This window comes from Homo sapiens, chromosome 10 (genome assembly GCF_000001405.40).
Source record: "Homo sapiens chromosome 10, GRCh38.p14 Primary Assembly".
Classification (NCBI taxonomy): Eukaryota; Metazoa; Chordata; class Mammalia; order Primates; family Hominidae; genus Homo; species Homo sapiens.
This window is the reverse complement of record NC_000010.11, coordinates 24364659-24385402: the sequence shown is the minus strand read 5'-3', so window position 1 is coordinate 24385402 and position 20744 is coordinate 24364659. Positions and strand designations below refer to the sequence as shown.

The window sequence follows — 20744 nt, the reverse complement described above, 5'->3', positions numbered from 1 at the left end:
AAGACGGGTCCAAAACACAGCTACTGTTCCCCACACTTTCTCTTGCATGTCTTTTAACACCATTTGCGAAATGCACCATGCTCAGCCTTCCTGCATTTCTCCCAGCCCCCAAATACACTGAAGCAATAGAAATGAGGACTTATTCAAGTGGAGAAACTAAGAGGCAGGCAGGTTTATCTCCAGGCACAGGCAGACTGAAGTGAGGGAAGGCTTCCTCTCCTCTCAGGAGCCGGAGTGGTGTGAGGATTCCATCTTGTCCTGGCTCCACCCTCAAGTTGCCTAGCCCTCCCCTTTCTGTGCTGCCTGAGCTGGGGAAGGACTCCAGTGACAAACTGTGGCACCACGTGCCAGTGTACAGGCCGGGAACTGGGCTTTCCTCACTCTCCTTACTCCAGGCCCCGTGGCTGGGGGCTGGCAGTAACAGTGTCTGATGCTCCTGGGGTTACATGAGGGGCCAGCACTGGGGTGAGGTCAACAAGACGCATACCTCCAGTGCAAAATTTAAGGGTCTCCCAAAAGCTCAGTGATCATGATAAATAATGTCTTTGTGCAATACTTTTAAAAAGCAGGTGGGTGTGGTGGCTCACGCCAGTAATCCCAGCACTTTAGGAGGCCAAGGCAGGCGGATCACGAGGTCAGGAGATCGAGACCATCCTGGCTAACATGGTGAAACCTGGTCTCTACTAAAAATACTAAAAAATTAGCCAGGCATGGTGGCAGGCACCTGCGTCCCAGCTACTCAGGAGGCTGAGGCAGGAGAATGGCGTGAACCCGGGAGACAGAGATTGCGGTGAGCCGAGATCGTTCCACTGCACTCCAGCCTGGGCGACACTGAGCCAGCTGGGTTGATGTTGCCCTTGACAGCCTCTTTGTCCAAATCCATGGAATGTACAACAGCAAGAGTGAACCCCAGTGTAAACTATGGACTCTGGGTGATATCAATGTGTCGGTCTCATTTCATTGATCGTAACAAACGTACCACTCTAGTAGGGTATGCTGATCATGGGGGAGGCTGTTCATGCGTGGAGGCCAAGGGTGTATGGGAACTGTCTGTACTTTCTGCTCGATCTTGTTACAAACCTAAAAAATTGCTCCTAAAAAATAAAATGATAAAAAAAATTCATGATAAACCATCAAAATTTTAAATAAAGGCAAGATCAACAGGGCTTCATGAGAGAACTTAAAACTCTATGGATTGAGATAAAGTGACAACATACAGATGCCAAAAGACACCCAGGGCTTCCAGATGGCATCAACAGCGGGTTTCCAGGGGGGTTACAGCTCAAAGTATCCAGTCGGCATATCTGAGGCCCCATGGAGTTGCAGCTGTGCTTCTGGGCCACCCAGGTGCTGGTAGACACCCTGCTCATGGCCGGGGCTCTCTGGGGAGCACTGTTTATCCCAGGAACCCGTGCGTCTGTGTGTTAAATAAGGCCAGGCAGGCGGGGAGTTTCCCAAAGACTAAGCTGAGCAAGGCCCCTGGGAGGGAGACTGCATTTGCACTTGCTGTGAGTCACATTTTCCTTTTTATTTCCCGTCCAGGCTCAACTGGATTACGCCATAAGGGCCAGGTGCGGCTGGGGGGACATTCCCCAATCGGCCACAAAGAGGCGGTCAAGGGCAACATCAACCCAGCTGGCCCAGTGCCAGCCTCATTTTCTGGAACCAGAGCTTCCCTTGGCTTTGGCAAGAAACTTCTCATTTCTCTCCTCTCCTCTTACTGTGTTCCTTTGTTTCTATCCAGGAGTAGTGAAAAATGGCAGGCCAAAAAGCCCCTCACAGGGAGGGCAGAATAAACAGGTCAGATGCATTTTTCAGCCTGCTGTGACAGCACACCGGCACTCTACAGCAAAGGATGCTGAGTAAAATGGAGCAATTTGCAGAAGCGTGGCCACCCCGTGCGAAAACACCCGCCACCCTCAGCCATTCCTTGGGCAAGCCGGCCCCAGCTCCTGCAGCCTCTCTGCCCCAAGGCTTGGTTCCTGAACCCAGCAAGTCTCAACCTGCACTGCCAACCGTTCTTGGCTGCAGAGGAAATTCCTTCCTTTAAGACAAAAGATCCATTATCCGACAGAGTCAAAGTTCCCCCAGGTATGGGGGAAGGCGGACAGGCATTTATTCTTATCTTCGTTTTGGTTTGCAGAGCTGAGGTTATCTTTACAGAGACCTGAGCTCATTTCCTCCAAGCACAAAGGAGAAATCCCATTCCTTGCCTGGCTCCTAAGTGTGAGTGGAGTTAAGAAAGCACAAGTTTCAGGCCAGACATGCTGGCTCATGCCTATAATCCCAGCATTTTGTGAGGTTAAGGTGGGAGGATTACTTGAGTCCAGGAATTCCAGACCAGCCTGGGCAACATAGTGAGACCCCATCTCTACAAAAAATAAAAAATTAGCCAGGCGCCTGGGTGCGTGCCTGTAGTCCCATCTACTCTGAAGGCTGAGATGGGAGGATCCCTTGAACGTGGGAAGTCGAGGCTGTAGTGAATCATGATCATGCCATTGCACTCCAGCCTGGGTGACAGAGCAAAACTCTGTCTCAAGAAAAAAAAAAAAAAAAAAGAAAAGAAAAACCACAAATTTCTTGAATCCACACAGAAAGCCCCAGCCTGGTGACGGTGTGGAAGCCTGTGTCATCTTGACACTGTCTTGGCCCATGATGCTCCTTGGGTGTGTCCCTCCCCTGTGTGTCCTTGTCCCTTCATTTGTAAGATCATGTTAATGGGAACTGGAGCCCTGGACTTCCCACTGCTGCCACTTAATTAAGTGTGTGAGCTCAAACAAGCAAACACACACATAAACAAAAAGCACATTTTCTGTGGTCTTCTCTCATTTATACAATGAGGATCCTAGATTACTAACCTAAGATCAAATTTTAATTTGATCTTAATTTGATCAAAATTTAATTTGACACAAAATTTAATGTTAAATATTAATATTGATAATACAAATAATAACAAAGTTGTAGGGTTTTTTTTTAGGACAGCTAGGACAATGTCTGAATTCAGTCTGCTTGGGTCATTATCTGCAGCAAAGGAACTAAAATCAGGGTACCTTCTCTCACATCAATCTTTTTCTTTCTTCTCCCAGCAAGGCATTTGCTCAGTTTTACATGGCAGAGTTCAGCTGTCTTTTGCACGTGCTAGACTCTGAAGGCTTTTGCATGTTGACTCTTTTCCTGTCCCCTCTTATCCCCAAGCCCATCTGTTTGCAAACACAAGTACCCAAATCAGAACCTTAACATGGCAATGAAGCATAAGAAACATCTGCCCCCTTGACAGAGAGGTCTAAATCCTCACGACTTGTCCATTTTGTTAAAGCGCCAAAAAAAGCAATTAAAAAAGCAAAGCAAGATAGAAAGTAAACTTCCAATACAAAAAAAAAAAAAAGGAAATGATACGTGGTAAAATCATAAAAAGAATCCTTCTGCCTTTCAGAAAAGCTGTGCCCTACACACACCAAGCCCCTCTATCCTTTCACGTGGTAGTGGGAACAGCCTCGTGTTTATGGTTCTTATGAACAGTCATGCAGATGTTAGCCACATTGTCCCTTTTTGTCATCTCCTCCACTGGACTACCAGACAGGTGCAGCAGGGCTGGTGGAAACCCACACCACTGGGTACAAATGCCAACTGTCCTGGCCTCTGGGACTGGAGAGGAGGGTTGCAAGGTGAGAAGAGGATCATTCTACGGTCAGTTCCTCACAATTTCCTATAGAGCACTGGTCCCTAATTTTTTTTGGCACCAGGGACTGGTTTCATGAAAGACAGTTTTTCCATGGATGGCAGATGGTTTCGGAATGAAACTGCTCCATCTCGGATCATCAGGCATTAGTTAGATTCTCATAAGGAGCATGCAACCTAGATCCCTCACTCATGCAGTTCATAATAGGGTTCAGCTCCTATGAGAAGCGGATGCCACAGCTGATCTGACAGGAGGCGGAGCTCAGGCGGTAATGCTTGCTCATCCTCTGCTCACCTCTTGCTGTGTGGTCTGTTTCCTAACAGGCCACAGACTGGTACTGGTCCATGGCCTGGGGACTGGGGACTCCTGCTGTATAGTAGCAGGAACATAGGTAAAATACTACTAGCCTCTTGGCTTGAATTGCTAATCCCAACCACTTCTGAAAGTGCCCAGCCTCAAAATCAGCTTGCACTTGACCTGATTACCCAGCAGGCAAATCCTCAATGCTTGATATTAAACCAATGAAGTTTCCCAGTACTAGAGTATTTGCAAATCAAGATCAAATTAATGTTGAATGAAAGAGTATAGGTTCAGTAGTATAACAACAAACGCATTCAGTAAGAAAGGGGCATCAGAAACTGCCTTCTAAAGCTTACCCAGAGATCTTTCTTTCGTCTGGTTGGTTGACCTCACCACAGGAAGGCTCGCACGAGTCCGGCTGCCTCTGGAAAAAGGGGTTGGAGCATCCCCCTCAGACATGGCTTCCAAAGAATCAGCGGACGTCTCTGATAAATGCTCGACCGGGTCACCCAGACTGGGTGGTTGAGGACTGTGAGACAGTTTGGGGCTCCTTGTCTGCAAAAGGCATTTTAAAGAAAGTGGGAAAATAGACTATTATTAATCGTGTGGAAAATATGTCCAATGCCATTTCTATTAATCTGGAAAAATAATATGGCAAGGGGTAACAGTCCATCACAAGGGTTAGATAGGGAAAACTAAAGACCCAGTGGGTCAAAGTATCAGTTGTGAAAATTACCGGAAAATAACATTGCCCTTAAGTGTTCCATTGTATTTATTTATTTATTTATTTATTTATTTATTTATTTATTGCCAGAGTGCAGTGGTGTGAGATCGGCTCACTACAACCTCCACCTCCGGTTTTCAAGCAATTCTTGTGCCTCAGCCTCCTGAATAACTGGGACTACAGGTGTGCCCCAACATGCCTGGCTAGTTTTTGTGTTTTTTAGCAGAGATGGGGTTTCACCATGATGGCCAGGCTTTGAGTACTTTGAGTACTCTTGAACTCCTGACCTCAGGTGATCCGCCTGCCTCGGCCTCCCAAAGTGCTAGGATTATAGGCGTGACCCGCTGCACCTGGTCTCCATTAAGATTTTTATTGTTTGACTTATGTGGTGCATTTTGAACAGGGAGTTGAGGACAAGCCACATTATAAGAAAGTGACAGCAAAACAATTCCTTTTGCCCGACAAATTCTAACAGTGCTTTCACAACAGATGGGACTGTATACTCTTCTACGCACCCTAGATGGATGAGCTACTAATACCAGAGTAAATTGAACACAACTGGTCCTTCAGAGTCTCATACCAAGACTGTTTCCACAATCAGTAAACTCACATTGCAAGGGAGATTTTTATTTTATTTTATTTTTTCTGAGATGGCGTTTCATTCTTGTTGCTCAGACTGGAGTGCAGTGGTGCCATCTTGGCTCACTTCAACCTCTGCCTCCTGGGTTCAAGCAATTCTCCTGCCTCAACCTCCCAAGTAGCTGGGATTACAGGCATGTACCATCATGCCCAGCTAATTTTTGTATTTTTAGTAGAGATGGGGTTTTGCCACGTTGGCTAGGGTGGTCTCAAACTCCTGACTTCAGGTGATGCACCTGCCTCAGCCTCCCAAAGTGCTGGGATTCCAAGGTGCGAGCTACCATGCCCGGCCTTATTAATGATTTTTGAACAAGGTACCCTGACAATTCTTTAGCCAGTCCTGCCTTGAGTTTTGGGCTACAGATTTGTTTCAGGGATGCCCAAGGTGTGCCTGATACTCTAGCAGTACCCTTTGAGAATGGGATGAGCAGCTTCTTGCTAAAAGTACAAGACGACCCCTCTCAACAGAACCAATTGCATTATCCAGACAATCACACCTTCCTACATGCCTCTCAGGACCTTCCCATAGAGGAAAGCAGGGATAAGGTCAGTACCTTCCGCCCTGTGTTTCTTAAGGGATGTGGCTTCAAGGAGATGACTGGGTGTTCTACAGGAAACTCAGCAAAGATATGCCAATATCATGACCAGAAAGGACATGCATTAACAGTGAAATTGTCTCCTTTGGTTAATTTTTCTGTACAAGTCCCCAAAGTGGTGCATTCCTAGATTTATTTTTTACAAAGTCTGCTTCTGTTATGGGGATCTGGCTTTGACACACATTACAAGTATTTGACCAGGAAAATTATCCCTAAATCACTGCCCAGTTCACCAAGATTTAGACAAATTCACGTGGTCCTCAGTGAAGTAGCTTCCTCCTTACTGTGCTCAGCAGAATATCAAGGTATGATGTCCTCATTCCTGACATTTTTTTTTAAAGAAGGTAGATTCAGTTTAGCAAGATAGCCAAGAAATAATATTACTTTAAGCAACATGGCTACATTTATAACCTCTGCCTTTTGGTCATCTTTATAGCTCACGGCAGAAACCATACATTTGATGAGTTGTCATTTTCCATTGCAGAAGGTAATAATCCTTGAAGAAAATCAAAATCAAATCTCTGTTTCTTGTTCAGGGTCATCGTAGTGGTAGGTAAGTAGAAAAATCAGAGATGCAGGGCTATATATTTTTTCTCCCCTCACTTCCTAAACATAGCTATTTAGCTCCAAATGTAAACTCCTCTTTTTGTTGTTATTCACGTTCTCACTGAAAACGATCACTACATATTAGCAGTCTCCTCACACGCAGTACCCTCCCCTCTGATGCCAGCTTGCTGCTGAGACATCATTTAGTTCAGAGAAAAGACAATGGAAATTGCTGACACTTGTGCCAGATACCCTGTGATCTGATATGCTGGAAAAAAAAAAAGTCAAAATAGCATTTTGGAACAGTGCTAGGCACCATGGGTAAAAGTGGACCAGAGATAAAAGTTCTTGAGCTCGTCAAGCATGTAAGGTCTATATGGGGGCAAAAGATAATATATATGCAATAGATGGACAGGAAGAATGAAGAGGCACATCACCCTGGGTGCAGAAGGAGTCTGGGGCAGTAACTGCTGAGTTTAAAGGGGCATCAGGGGAGGAGGAAGAGTGTAGGTGAGGGAGGTGCGAGGGTTGCTCTGAACTGGGCAATAAAGTACAGGGCTACCCACTCCCAGCCTGGTCTTTCCTGATTGGACTGAACAGTAGTCACCTGATCTTAGCTGGATCAATCAAATTCTCGCCCCTGGAAATGTCTTTCCTGATTGGGTCAAGAAGTAGTTACCTGAACTTAGCTGGTCCAATTAAACTCTCAATTGTAAATTTAGATCTGGGACAGAGGATCTATTAGTCAATGTCTACAGAGAACTTGAAACAACTTAGTTTTCAACTTGAAGCTGTGGTTAACGTGGGCAGGAAAAGTGAAACAGAAAAAAGTGCAGAGAAAAAAAATAAAGCGAATCTGTATTAAAAAACAGAGATGTGAGACCCCCACGATCTTCAGAGAGCACAAAAGATAAGACAGCAGCCATCTGGGGTCTCCTGGGCTTCCCACTTTCTGTTTCCAGTACACTGTGGGGTCCTTCCAATGAATTCCTTCAATTAATTCAGTTTTTGTTCTTGCACTAGTTTGGGATAACGGTGCCTTACAAGCAAACCACCGCTGACCAACACCAATTCTAATGGTTCCTCCTGGCTAAGCTGCTAGGATGCTCACATATTCATATTAGTAAGAACCATGGAGAAAGCTAAACTCTCTGGAGCTTATTTCCATAATCATAGTTCCCATTATTTTATATTTCATAGATGAAAATTTCTAAAGAAATATTTCCCCCAAATTTATGAGGGGTTACAATACAAGGATGTTGATTTTATTTTGCAAAGTAAGAGGCATTAAAGAAATCTTACTCTCTGTGGTATCATTTTTTTACCATAAGAAAGGAAAGATACTTTAATACCAAAAAAGGGGGAAGCAAACACAATTTCAGGTTTGATCTAGTGAAAAATTCTTTATGTTGGAGTTAGTGTTCTCATTTTGCCTCCGGTGAAAACTTTTCTCAGTCATGCATGGCCTACAGCTTGGTGTTTGAAGCTGCTACCCTAAGCTGCTGAGTGGAGAGCTATGCCTAACTGAGGAGGAAGCAGGGGATGGTGGGAATATTCTCTGAGCCACGTGAGCAGGACTCAAGGGTCTGTAAGACTGGATTTTCCTCCTTGCTCCATGGAGATCCATGACACCAATCTCCCTCTGTTTCCATCACAACCTTGTAAAGACTTCCCCAAATCATTAGGCAACCCCAAACCCGCAAACCCAAATGGTAAGCCCTTTGGGGTCATGCATGAAGGGGGTGGTCTGTATAATCAGGCCACCTGAACCCCACTTGTCCTTTCTATTCTTCTCTTCTTCGAAGGGGTCTCTCTGTCACGAAGACATTCTGGTGTCATTGGCTCAATGCAGCTCTCTCCTCTTCTGCATCTGTGATTGACCCTATAGAAATATTCTCTTCCTAATGAAAGGATGAGGGAAGAAATAAAGGACCCAACATAACAGGTGCCTGCTGCTCTGTATCAAGTAACTGTCATGTGGTAACCTAATTTAACCTTCCCTGTAACCTCACACTACTGATTACCACTGAGAAAATAGAAAAAGCAGCTTGCCCTGAAACTCTACCAAATGAAAGGAGCAAAGATCACGTGTGGCGCACTCCAGAGTTGACACCAGTGGTAAGATTGGTTGGTTGGTCATTCATTCATTCATTCATTCAGTCAGACAGGGTCTCTATTGCCCAGGCTGGAGTGCAGTGGTAAGATTATGGCTCACTGCAGCCTCGATCTCCCAGGCTCAAGCGATCCTCCCACCTCAGCCTCCTGAGTAGCTGGGACTACAGGTGTGTACCATCATGCCCAGCTAATTGTTTTAATTTGTAGTAGACGAGGTCTCACTTTGTTGCCCAGGCTGGTCTCAAACTCCTAAGCTTAAGCGATCCTTTCATCTCAGTCTCCCAAAGTGCTAGGATTACAGGTGTGAGCCACTGCACCCTGCCTAAAATTTTTATTTAACCAGGAGTCTGGGAATGCTAGTTCTAGTTCAGCTTCTGCCAAAAACTGGTCCACATATAACCTCGTTGAGTCACAGGTATCTCATCTGTAAGGCCAGAGGTTGAGCTAGTTGGTGTCTCAGATCCCTTGCAGGACCAAAACTTTCTAACTCTAAGTACACATCATATAAGAAGAAAAGATCATGTCATCCAGAAAAACAGTTTACTGAGATTTCCTTCGAATTATTTATCCTATAGCACCTGCTCCATAGATATATGTAGCTAGGTAGTGCTAAGATCTGGCTTTCCGCATTTATGTCCTCAAGTGTATGCAACATAGTTGAACAGCATTAATTTTTAAAAGACGGTCATGATTTCATTTTAACATCATGAACAAATATTTGCTGAAATGTTCACCAAGTGCACTGTTCTGCGAGGGAGATCAGATTTATTCATATTCTTTGCAATGCTATTGGATTTGGAGATAACAACAAAGATAAAAGAAAGTTAGAGCTAGAGGTATTGATGATGTATTTTTCATTCCCGTTTTCAGACCCTTAAACCCTAAATTGAAATGCCGAGGTCCAGAAAATGAACCTGCAAATGTAGCTTTACGTAATATGTTAATTGCCAGGAACAGTGGGGTGTCTGGCTAGCCAAGGTATTCACTTTGCTTCAGATTACGTTCTATTGTGAAAAGAAAAATCAACATTGCCGTGATGAAGTTTTACTTCATCCTAATTAATGCCCAATTTGCCACAGGGCATTTGAAAATACAATGAAGTTTTCCACATGCAAATGTATTTGGAATGACTCATTCCTAGCACTCATTAAAGGACATGGTTAATTTAATCATGACATTCAGACACTTTAGCCCCATTTCTTTCACTTGTGAAACTTTCAACTCAAACCCAGTCAAAATTCTGATTTCAGTTGAAGAGAACATTCTAGTTGCTAGGTACTTTTATTAAAAATTCCAGGAACAAAATATTAAATTAACAAATAAATCATCCACAGAATTTAGGTTTTCTCTACCATTCCTGCTTCACGGTACTCCAAAGGAAAATTAATAAACTCTCACTTTGGAAGCTCTACGCTTCTAAATTTGCTTACAGAGTCCTTTTTACAAGCCACAGTGCAGTTGCCTTTTTCCCATTTTCTGCTCTCCTTCTAGTTTCCTGTCTTTAATGTCCATGCTGGGTTGAGGACTAAGGGTGGGAAGGAAGACAGGGAGCTCCATCGGGCACACCTGGCTTCTATCTTATCTCCCATCCTTACATAAACCCATCCCTGGTGACAGCATCAGCTGAGGCCTTCTTCCTCCAGTTGGCCACCACCTGCCATTCTCTGGTGAGTCCTGTGACCAACAGCCAGGTGTATATTTCGAACAGCGAGCCCTGGGGTCAGGTACAGTGGCTCACACCTGTAATCCCAGAACTTTGGGAGGCCTAGGCAGGTGGATTGCTTGAGCCCAGGAGTTCAAGACCAGCATGGGCAACCTAGTTGAGACTCTGTCTCTACAAAAAATTAAAAAATTAGCCAGGTGTGGTGCTGCACACGTGTAGTTCCAGCCACTGGGGAGGCTGAGGCAGGAGGATGGCTTGAGCCCGAGGTTGAAGCTGCAGTGAGCTAGGGTGACACCACTGCACATCAGCCTGGGAGAAAGAACAAGACTCCCATCTCTAAAAAATAACAGAAGAATACAAAATTTAAAAAAAGAACAGCAAGGCTTAGCTATGCATGTCTTCTTGGCAACTTCCCACGGCTTCTGTGGCTTATGGACAGAAAAGCAAAATCTGAATGATATCTCCCCAGTGCCATTCTTGCAACTATGATCACTCTGGGTAATAGACTGAGACACCCATGATTCTAAAATACAACGGGTGGATGTGAGAACTGCAACACAAATGGAGAAGAGAACTGTAGTTAGTTTTATTATGATCTTGCAATTTTGGGGTGGGTCTGGCATTAAAGACTCAGAGAAATGGTGGTAGAGGAGAATAAATCAGCAGCTTTTGTTTTTAATAGAAACCTTGGGTGCAGGCGCTAGAGGGTCCTGCTGTTAATCTACAGTACAATATACACACACACAAAATCGAGTGTTTAGTGGACATCTGGATGCTGGATGTGAGCAGTTTGTGGATACTTGCCAGGATGACTAGTAACCAGGAACTTCTGGGCCTTACAATAAGATAGATCTATATTCACTAACCACATTTTAATGCCAACTTCCAACGGTGCATATCTGAGATTCTCACGTTTCTCCTAGCTTAAGTTGAGGTCTGATAATTAGTATTTCTCTTCCCTGACTTAGATAAAGGGGAAGCATTTTCTCTAGGATTTATTTTGATGAAATATCCTTGATACACTCAGTTTATATCCTGTTTCTTCAACGCTAATATTTCAACACTTTTCTCCCTTTTCCATCCAAAGAGTACCCAGACGTTATTCATGATTTTCACCTGTGAAAACAGAATGGCATTTGTTCTGGATGGAAATCAGACGATTCAGCAGTTGGGCAAAGTACAACTGCATCTTTTGTTTCCACATTTTCCTTCTCTGTGTGTATTATTTCATTATCAGATTGGAAAGATGAAAGGGCAGTGATACCCATTACCCGCTGCCCACGGGCAGCTCATATGGAGCCAGCCACAGTCATCCCTGCACTGAGGCATCCTCTGTGTGGAGCGAAGTGAGCCAGGCAGGACCCCTCTGCCAACCCATTGTCACCATGCAAAGCCCCCTGCCTTCCTACAGCTGCAAACAAACAAATGACAAGGACACCTCTGTGCAGAAAAGGGCTCTTCCTCATTGTTTAAAGAAGCACCACACTATGCAAATACTCTCCATAGAGTATTATCTGTGTGTCAGATTCATCTTCTGAGGTATTGTTAATTTACCTTGTCCTTGTGGTTGTCAGAAACAACAAAAAATTTATGGAACTTCTATTGCTAGCCATCACCTCCTGGGAAACTTCCAAGCCTTTAAGTTCCAAGGTCTTCCCACAGGGAAGGGTTGTTAATGGTATCCCCATGCTACAGAGGCCACTCTGAAGACTCTCTCCCTAAATTGGGGTTAGAAGGTAAAGGTATCTGGAAAAGACGTCTGGACTTACCTCCAGAAGGGGAAAGGAGGAAGTTCCTAATTGCGCAGGAAGAGGGGAGTGGATGACTTCCCAGAGCCAAGAAGAGGGTGGCAGTTTTGGTGTCAGTGGTGGCGATGGTGCTCTTCAAATTGGGAAGACCTGTATTCCATTTGCAAGAAGTGACCCACAACTGGGAAGATGGATGTGTGACATGCTTAGAGTGGGTGGAACCAGGTGCTCACACTTAGGATACTTGGCAAAGGTCCCCATAAACCTGGATGCAAACAGGCTGCACAGAAAGCAATTCACTATAAGTCCCAGGAGACTCAGAGGCCCTGGCCTGGTTTTATTGGATTGGACAAGCTCCTCAAGATTTCCTTATGACTCCAAGTGAGGGGAAAATGCTTCCCCTTAATATGATGAGGATGAATTTCTCAATAATTGCTGAAGCCAGGATAGATTGGTTTGATTTGGGAAAATTAAGAAAAGTGGTAGTTCTTGTACTGGAGTGTCAGGAAGCAAATCTGTACATATTACATCTTTAATAGAATAAGTAAATCTTGAAACAATTTGGAGGGCTGGTTAACAAATTACAATGTCTGTGTACTCTAGAGTACTACACAATCATAATAAAGGTGTTTTAATGGAATTTTGGGGTATAATTTAGTAATTGGACACAATAGAGCCAAATGCGAGCATTAGTTTTCTTTTGATGGTGGGATTACGGGTAACATTCTTTTTAAATAATTTCACCTTTTATTTTAGATTTAGATTTATTTTGGCGTGCAGGTTTGTTACATGGGTATATTGCAAAATGCTGAGGTCTGGGGTACAATTGATCCCGTCACCCAGGCAGTGAGCATGAAACTGACCCAACAGTCCCATAGATTATTTTTTTTGATAAACTGAACAAGAAATTGTTCTGGTCTCAAAGCTGGAAACCAGTATTTGTTTTATCTGAGTTCCTTCCTCAGGAAACACCTTTAGGACTCTCAAAAAAGTATCAAAGAACTGAAACGCACCAGATCACCACACCAGATGCCACACCCCTCATTCATCATGATTGTTTCCTTGCGCCTTCTCAGTTGTTGTTTTCTTATGTGTTCTTAACGTTTCTTTCCTGCTATATAAACCCCTAGTTCTAGTCAGTCAAGGAGATGGAGTTGAGACTGAGCTTCTGTCTCCTTGGCTGCAGCACCCGATCAAAGCCTTCTTCCTTGGCAATACTTGTCTCAGTGATTGGTTTTCTGTTTGGTGAGCAGCAGAACCTCGACCAAACCCCCGGTGTTTTTGTAACAAGCGTAGTATTCAATGGGTTTTCAACCCTTGCTCTCCTCCTGCCTCCCCACTCCAGGAGTCCCCAGTGTCTATTATTGCCATCTTTATACCCATGTGTACCCAATGTTTAGCTCTCACTTATTAAGTAAGAACATGCTGCATTGGGTTTTCTGTTCTGCATTAGATTGCTTAGGATAAGAGTGACACACTTTCTTTATTTCTCCAAAATAAGAATATGTTGTTTTTACAAATCAGAGAATTACTAAATAGGCATGATATTTTTAAAGAATAGATCAGAGGAAGGGAACTTTCCCATAAAACATTTAGAATCCAGAAGGATTCCTGTCTATGGTGACCTGAATGTATTCATGCCCAATTCCTGTCTTCTCTTGTGTATTCTGTATGATTGGATTCTAGGTTTAAGAACTTGTCATTAGAGATGGCCCCTGAAATGACAACACAAATGCATGGGGAAAACATGGGAAGGGAAACACGTTTTCATTTTCATGCCATGCAATATTTGGCAAGAATCCAGTTCTTACAAAACTTCCAATTCTACAAAACGATACAGTTAAGAAAAGCGCCAAGGCCATCAAATCAATTTCAGACATGCAGATTGCATTCCACCTTTTAAAGAGACAGACTTCCACATCTGTAGTTCTGATACCATTATAGTAATTTAATTTAAAGGCTCTTAAAATTTGATTCTAGGTAAATTTGGAATTTTAGCAATTTTCTATGATCCCAGAGATATTTTCCACCTTTCAACCCTTCATAGTTTGTAGATGATACAGTATTCTTTTTTTTCCCTTGAAGAGGTTTGGTTCCACCTAGAGGAGCTGCTAAATCTGTTGCCTTGCAGAGGAGACAGGGGTTCTTATCAGATCAGAAGGCAGGGTGGCCTTTTCAACTCCAGGATTAGACATCAACCTGCCACCTGTCTGCCTTGTGGCCTACCTGTAACATGACATAAACTCTACTGAAATACCACCTCAGATTGACTGCTCTCTGACTCCTCCCCAAAGCCAGAATGAGACAAAAGCTATTTAAAGAAAATAAAGCCTAGCTCAACTATGATCTCCATTTAGCATCCTTCTACCAAGTTAGAAAATTAGATCATCGGTAAGTTCCAAGTCTGGATCTCATTAACTCAGACTTTCACCCCTTTCAGAAATACGTTCATGCAATTTTTATTCAGTGATGTGTTTTCTTCTTTTCGTTTTGCCGATACAAAATTAAAAGCCTGGACTAGGTGTGGTGGCTTACACCTATAATTGCAGCACTTTGAGAGGCTGAGGCAGGAGGATAAATGAAGCCAGGAGTTTGAGACCAACCTCGGCAACGTCCCATCTCTACAAAAAACCAACATGAAAATTAGCCAGGAGTCGTGGTGCACACCTGTAGTCCCAGCTACTCGTGAGGCTGAGGTGGGAGGATCCCTTGAACCTGGCAGTTCAAGGCTGCAGTGAGCTATGCAGTGATCATGCCACTGTACTCCAGCCTGGGTCACACAGCAAGATCCTGTCTCTAAAAAAACAAAAGCCACATGAAGAATACTGCTGTTTACTTGTTGGTCCTGCCTACTATGCTGATCAGTGTACCTTTTATAAAGGCACGAACAATGTTTCTTTCACAATTTGAAACAAAGAATATGATTTTGCTTCCTGAAGGATTAATAAGTATTACCTTGTCATATGTAAAATATCATGTATGTCAGGAAGCTTGAAAGTAAATTTAATGTCCAAGCTAATCATAGTACCTATATTTTAAAATTTGCTTCCTCTTCTTACGAGATTTTGCTTTTTGATTTTCAGTGTATCTACCTTAGGGTAGATGTCTTTTTTTTTTTTTTTTTTTTTGAGACAGAGTCTCGCTCTGTTGCCCAGGCTGGAGTGCAGTGGCGTGATCTTGGCTCACTGCAGGCTCCGCCTCCCGGGTTCACACCATTCTCCTGCCTCAGCCTCCCGAGTAGCTGGGACTACAGGCGCCCGCCATCACGCCTGGCTAAGTTTTTATATTTGTAGTAGAGATGGGGTTTCACCGTGTTAGCCAGGATGGTCTCGATCTCCTGACCTCGTGATCTACCTGCCTCGGCCTCCCAAAGTGCTGGGATTACAGGCGTGAGCCGCCGCGCCCGGCCAGGTAGATGTCTTTTTATTGCAAGTTGCCTTGAATACAACAATTAATTTATTCTTTCTCTCCTTTCTTTCTGAAACAAGAAAAGTAATGCCTTATCAACAAGTAAAATGTTGAACAGGCTTTGGCTGCCAAAATCCTCATTGGTTGAGGTCTGAGCAAGACTGCAGATGCTTTTGTAATTCAGAAAGTCAGGAATGCACTTTAAAAGGCTATAGGATAAAAGGTGTCTGTGTGAGGATTGCTGTTATTATACTGATAAAAGGAAAGAAACCTGCTTGTAGCCTTTGAAGTCTCAAGTAAAATACAACCAGCAAAACATGGTGCTAAGTACACATCTTAGAAGGCCTTCTTAACAAAAGCCATTTTTAAGCTCATCTCTGCAACCTAGGCTTCAGTGCTTTATGGAGAGGATGTGGGATCCCAAGCCACGGAATCGTACCCCTAAAACTTAATTGCATTGTTGCCAAACCAAAGAGGCTTTCCTTGCTAGCAAAGGCCCTCACCCTCAGTGAGGGTATGGGCTGTGCCATGGGAGAGCTTATGATGTCCTCATCACCCCACAGTGGAGAAGGCCACAGGGAACTGGGCAAGAGGGACTCTTGTGGGTTCCTGGGGTCACCAAGGCTCAGAGCTTATGGCCAGACCCTCCCCATACATCCTGGGAATAGCGTTCACTGTTAATTTCAAACACATTCCCCCTCCCGCCAGTCCAAAACAACCACCACTACCACCTGCCCAATTTCACTGGAATGATTTTCAAATGAAAACACACACACACACACACACACACACACACACACACACATAGTGAAAGTTCTAACTAGCTTTCTGCACCAAAGATTCTGATTTTCCTCTAGTCCTGCTCTAGGAAAGTATACCAGTGTTTGAAGAGATGGACAGAAGACAAAATTTATAATGAGAGAACTTACTGTTTTTATCAGGTTATTTTATGAAAAGCAGACTCCAATCCTGCCATGAACTCACGGTGCAACTCCATATGAAACCTTTCTGAACCTCGGTTCTCACTTTTATAAAATAATCAGAATATCTACTTGATAAAGTGAGAAGTAATTGGAAAAATGTTGCATGGGACAGCAATTGGTAAATTATAAAAGATGCCAACCATTTAGCTTTCCTTAGGTAGTAAGCTGGTGTTACTCTCAGTAGGGTGATTCTAGATGGCTCAGCTTCCTACTGTTCTTGGGAAGTCCCGTAGCTTCTGGGATCCTATGTGAGAGGAGAAGGGTACAAACAAACCTTTAATGGATCCACCATGCCTTCATCTTGGTCTTGTGAGATAGGTAAATAGTTACATCCAATTTCAAAACAGAATTTGACATCTGGAGAGGATCTGAGAGTTACTCATTCACTAAAGGGGGAAGATCACCTTCGATTTCCAACCTTAACCTTCATCCTATTCCATCTCTGAAAAACAGCATTATAATTTAAAATGCTTGTAAATGCCAAAAAAGCACTTCAAGAAAAATTTCAGATATCCAATTATTTGCTGATATGGAAAAAAAAAGAAAGAAAAGGAAAGTCAGTACTGAAGATTTATTTGTTTCAAGCAGAAGAAAAAAAGAATAGCGGGAGGGAATCCCAAACTCAGTACTACTTATGATGGGAAAATCCCACTGGGCAATGTCAAATCTCTATTCTGAAAGTAGGAATAAAGGTTAATGGCAGGGTGTGAAGTTGTAGGGAAGAGCTCACTATGCCCTTCTTTTCCCTTTCTGCATTTTAACTTAGTGCACAATACATGCGCACGGAAATAATAAAGATGCCTCTATTTTGCATGAATTTTAGGAATGTGAAAATGATTAAGAATAAAATTAAGGATAAACACTCATCAGAATTGGGATGATGTGTGACATGAAAATTCTCTTTAGTGTCTAAACTTGAACTTTAATGTTTATTTGTCTGGGCAGGAACTTTCTAAATTGAGCTTGTTACCCTAAAAAGAGATCAATGAGACTGATTATTAAGAAGGGGAAGGTAAAGAGATAAGCATGGTCACTGAAGACTGACCAATGGGAAGGAGGTCACTTTTGTACAAAGCCAGATGGCCGAACATTTCCTAAGCACAACCATTACCTAGCTGTGTGACCTTGGGCAAGTTACTTAACTTCTCTGTGCCTCAATCACCTCATTTGTAAAATGGGGATCATAGTATACCTCCCCCACAGGGTTGCTGTGAGAAGTTAATACTTGTAAGGCACTTAGAACAGTGCCTGGTGTATATAAGTTCTAAAGAAATGTGTTTATTTCCATTATGATCATTATTAAAATGTATATAAGTAAAATGATCTGGACCCAACATTGGACACATTGGAACTGAGCAAAGCAGAATGACATAGCTTTGGGATTGTCAGAATGATTCAGGCTTCTGTTTTACTGCCATGAGTATTCTGCTGGAGCAAGCTGGCAAGGATAGGATCTCTGCTTAGAGATGCCCACTTTTCAAACAATTATTCAAAGATCTCCAGCTTGTGGTTGCATTACTGCTGATTCCACAATCCAATCTGTGGAAAGCAAATTAAATATTTCGAAGCAAGCATGCAATTAGTGTTCATTTTAATACTGACTCTCATAATTTTTAGAAATGCACATATTTCAGAATGCTACAAGCACTTGGCTCTGATAGTTTTGAATCAGGGATTGGGGTAAACAGCGAAAAGTGCAGGCGTTAGTGGCTGACACTGATTAGAATGGCACTTGCAGGTGAGGGAAAGGTGCAGGATGAGGGTGCAACTCGATGCAGAAAAAGAACAGGTAGAGTACTAACTCGCTGAGACGATTCAATTTTCATCAAGTACCTTTGAATGTCAAGTTCTGCCTGAAGAGAGATCAGCATGCCCTTCAAAGCCTGTGGACCAGGAGAAAACAAGAAAAAAATAGGAAAGAAAAGGGGTGAAAACATGAAGAGAAAAAGAATAGGTTGACCAAATGGACCACCTATTTATTCATGATGAAAATGTAGCACGGTTAACTCCTCTTCCCCGAAAAGAAAGAAAAATGATGACAGTTCCATCCTTATATTTTAGAAAGACATGTTGAAGCCTTAACTAGCAATGGGTTTGCCCCAAAATACCCTGCCATAGGCGCTTCTGAATTCACCTTGTATCATTGGAGAATGTGTCATATTAATCCACCATCCCTGAGGTTGTCCCAGAGCTGCAGGGAACTTACTAGAGCCTGCCCAACCCAAATGAAATAGCTTTCTTAGCCAGAATGCAGTCTGAGGCTGCCATCTTGATTGTCACTGGCCCCGGGCTCACTGGCCACTAGATTGCTCCACGAAAGCAGGCCTGTGAGTGCAGTGCTCTCTGCCCATGCTTTGCCATGCAGGAGGGCACACCCAAGGTGAATACATGCAGGAACAGAAGATCCACACTGTAATTCAGGGCACAAATTCTAATATTTGAACCTGGTGGACCCTGGAGTGTGCCTTTGGTTTACAATGCTTACTGTGCAAGCATTTAAATATTTTAATTCTCATTGATGCCACTGACTTTATTTTTATTTTTATTTTTAGTTTTTGACACAGAATCTCACTTTGTCGCCCAGGCTGGAGTGCAGTGGCGTGATCTCAGCTCACCGCACCCTCTGCTTCCCGAGTTAAAGCGATTCTCCTGCCTCAGCCTCCGGAGTAGCTGGGATTACAGGCGCCCACCACCAAAGCTGGCTAATTTTTGTATATTTAGTAGAGATGGGGTTTAACCATGTTGGCCAGGCTGGTCTCAAACTCCTAACCTCAAGTGATCTGCCTGCTTCGGCCTCCCAAAGTGCTGGAATTACATTTGTGAGCCACTGCATCCGACTCATTTTTGAGCAACTTAACTTTTTAAAAAAACATGGCAGTGAAATATTTTTTTGTGACTTAAAAAATGAAAATTTCTATAATCCTCATGCAAGAAGAGTGACTTCCTCTTGTGCCCAATATCTGCCAGTGGGGTGCCATAGCTGCATATCTTACTGCACACGCATATACACATATCCATAAGGACTAGTAACATATAGGAGCCTCTAAGTACCGTCATGATTGAATTATACAATATCCATGATCCATATCACCATTGTGTATAGATTATATATATGTGTGTATATTACTTAGAACTTAGTCCCACACATCAGACACAAATTTCCACTAGAAGAAAAAGAACACTTGAACACAGATGGCTACACTCGAAAGCCAAAAAGCCAAACAACAGGTCTCCAGACAAAAACTGTACTAAAATATTCTACCCAAGATGCACATAGGGGTTAAAAAAATAAATAAATAAATAAAAGAACTTGAAGAGACCTTGAAGAGAAAAAGGGAGTGACACTATTAGAAAAACAATTAGCTAAAGTGACCTCATAAAAGCCCTTTTCTAGGTGAATATATTCTCACCAGAAAGGTGAGGGTTGCTTAGGGCCCTCTGATTCTCTGCTCTGAAGTTTACAGGCTTCATCAACTGTGAAAGAAATACCCTGAAGTAGACCACAAATAATAAAGCCCTGCAGATGCATGGTAAATAAAAGTGTAAGATAAAAACAGGATGATAGATTTGAAGAGCTGCTATGGACAGGGAAAAGGGGGACAAAAAAAAAGCACAGAAAATCACAGAGCGATGATAAGTAACACCGGCTGCGGGAGGAGAACCAGGACAACCACAGCCCTTCAGAGAGGACCAGGAATGGAAAGTGGTAATGGAAGAGACCGGAGTCCCAGTGAGTCTGCCAGGAGGGACAAAGAGACCTCAACCACTCTCTGCTAGGTGACCCTCATCAGAGGAACTTACAACAAAGAAAATGAAATATGGAGAAACGGGGGCAAGGAAAGTCGCTACAGCCATTGCTTTAGACAAATATCATCTGAAAGTCAAGAAAGTAGGGGAGGATGGGTGAGGTGGCTCACTCCTGTAACCCCAGCACTTTGGGAGGCTGAGACAGGAGGATCGCTTGAGGCCAGGAGTTCAAGACCAGCCTGGCCAACATAGGGAGACTCCCATTACCACAAAAGATGAAAGAAAAAATTTAGCTTGGTGTGGTGACAAGTGCCTGTAGTCCTAGCTACCGAGGGGGCTGAGGGGGGAGGACTGCTTGACCTCAGGAGGTCGAGGGTGCAGTGAGTACAGTGAGCTATGATCACACCAACGTACTCCAGCTTGGGCAACAGAGAGAAACACTGTCAAAACAAAACAAAAAAAAAAGAAAGGAAGAAAAAAGAAAGAAAGAAAGGAAGGAAGGCAGGCAGGCAAGAGAAACACACAATTGCTCAAAGCCTCCGAACTGTGGAGCAAACCCCTAGTCTACCTGTTACATCTTTTCCTGCCTTTGCTAA

At 43.3% G+C, this 20744-nt stretch overlaps 1 protein-coding gene across 30 annotated transcripts in view, besides 4 other annotated features; it reads right to left on the bottom strand.

Moving 5' to 3' along the window:
- Nucleotides 1–20744, bottom strand: part of KIAA1217 — an 853117-nt gene that overhangs the window by 162441 nt on the left and 669932 nt on the right. For all 30 annotated transcript variants that reach the window (NM_001098500.3, NM_019590.5, XM_047425513.1 and 27 more), the window contains one exon: nt 4336–4534. In NM_001098500.3, the coding sequence (NP_001091970.1) occupies nt 4336–4534 (199 nt within the window). The remainder of the gene's footprint in view (nt 1–4335; nt 4535–20744) is intronic.
- Nucleotides 1156–2355: an enhancer, noted in NCBI's record as "P300/CBP strongly-dependent group 1 enhancer chr10:24671977-24673176 (GRCh37/hg19 assembly coordinates)". NCBI's record gives its function as "activates an origin of replication core promoter dependent on BRD2, BRD4, P300/CBP, MED14 and CDK7 cofactors, with strong dependence on P300/CBP, by STARR-seq in HCT116 cells {active_cell/tissue: HCT116}" and the evidence as "EXISTENCE:reporter gene assay evidence [ECO:0000049][PMID:35650434]".
- Nucleotides 1669–1828: an enhancer, noted in NCBI's record as "active region_3158". NCBI's record gives its function as "activates an Ori minimal core promoter by ATAC-STARR-seq in GM12878 lymphoblastoid cells {active_cell/tissue: GM12878}" and the evidence as "EXISTENCE:reporter gene assay evidence [ECO:0000049][PMID:35858748]".
- Nucleotides 1979–2058: an enhancer, noted in NCBI's record as "active region_3157". NCBI's record gives its function as "activates an Ori minimal core promoter by ATAC-STARR-seq in GM12878 lymphoblastoid cells {active_cell/tissue: GM12878}" and the evidence as "EXISTENCE:reporter gene assay evidence [ECO:0000049][PMID:35858748]".
- Nucleotides 4264–4460: a silencer, noted in NCBI's record as "fragment chr10:24669872-24670068 (GRCh37/hg19 assembly coordinates)". NCBI's record gives its function as "represses an EF-1alpha promoter that drives an FKBP-Casp9 reporter gene in an ReSE screen in K562 erythroleukemia cells {active_cell/tissue: K562}" and the evidence as "EXISTENCE:reporter gene assay evidence [ECO:0000049][PMID:32094911]".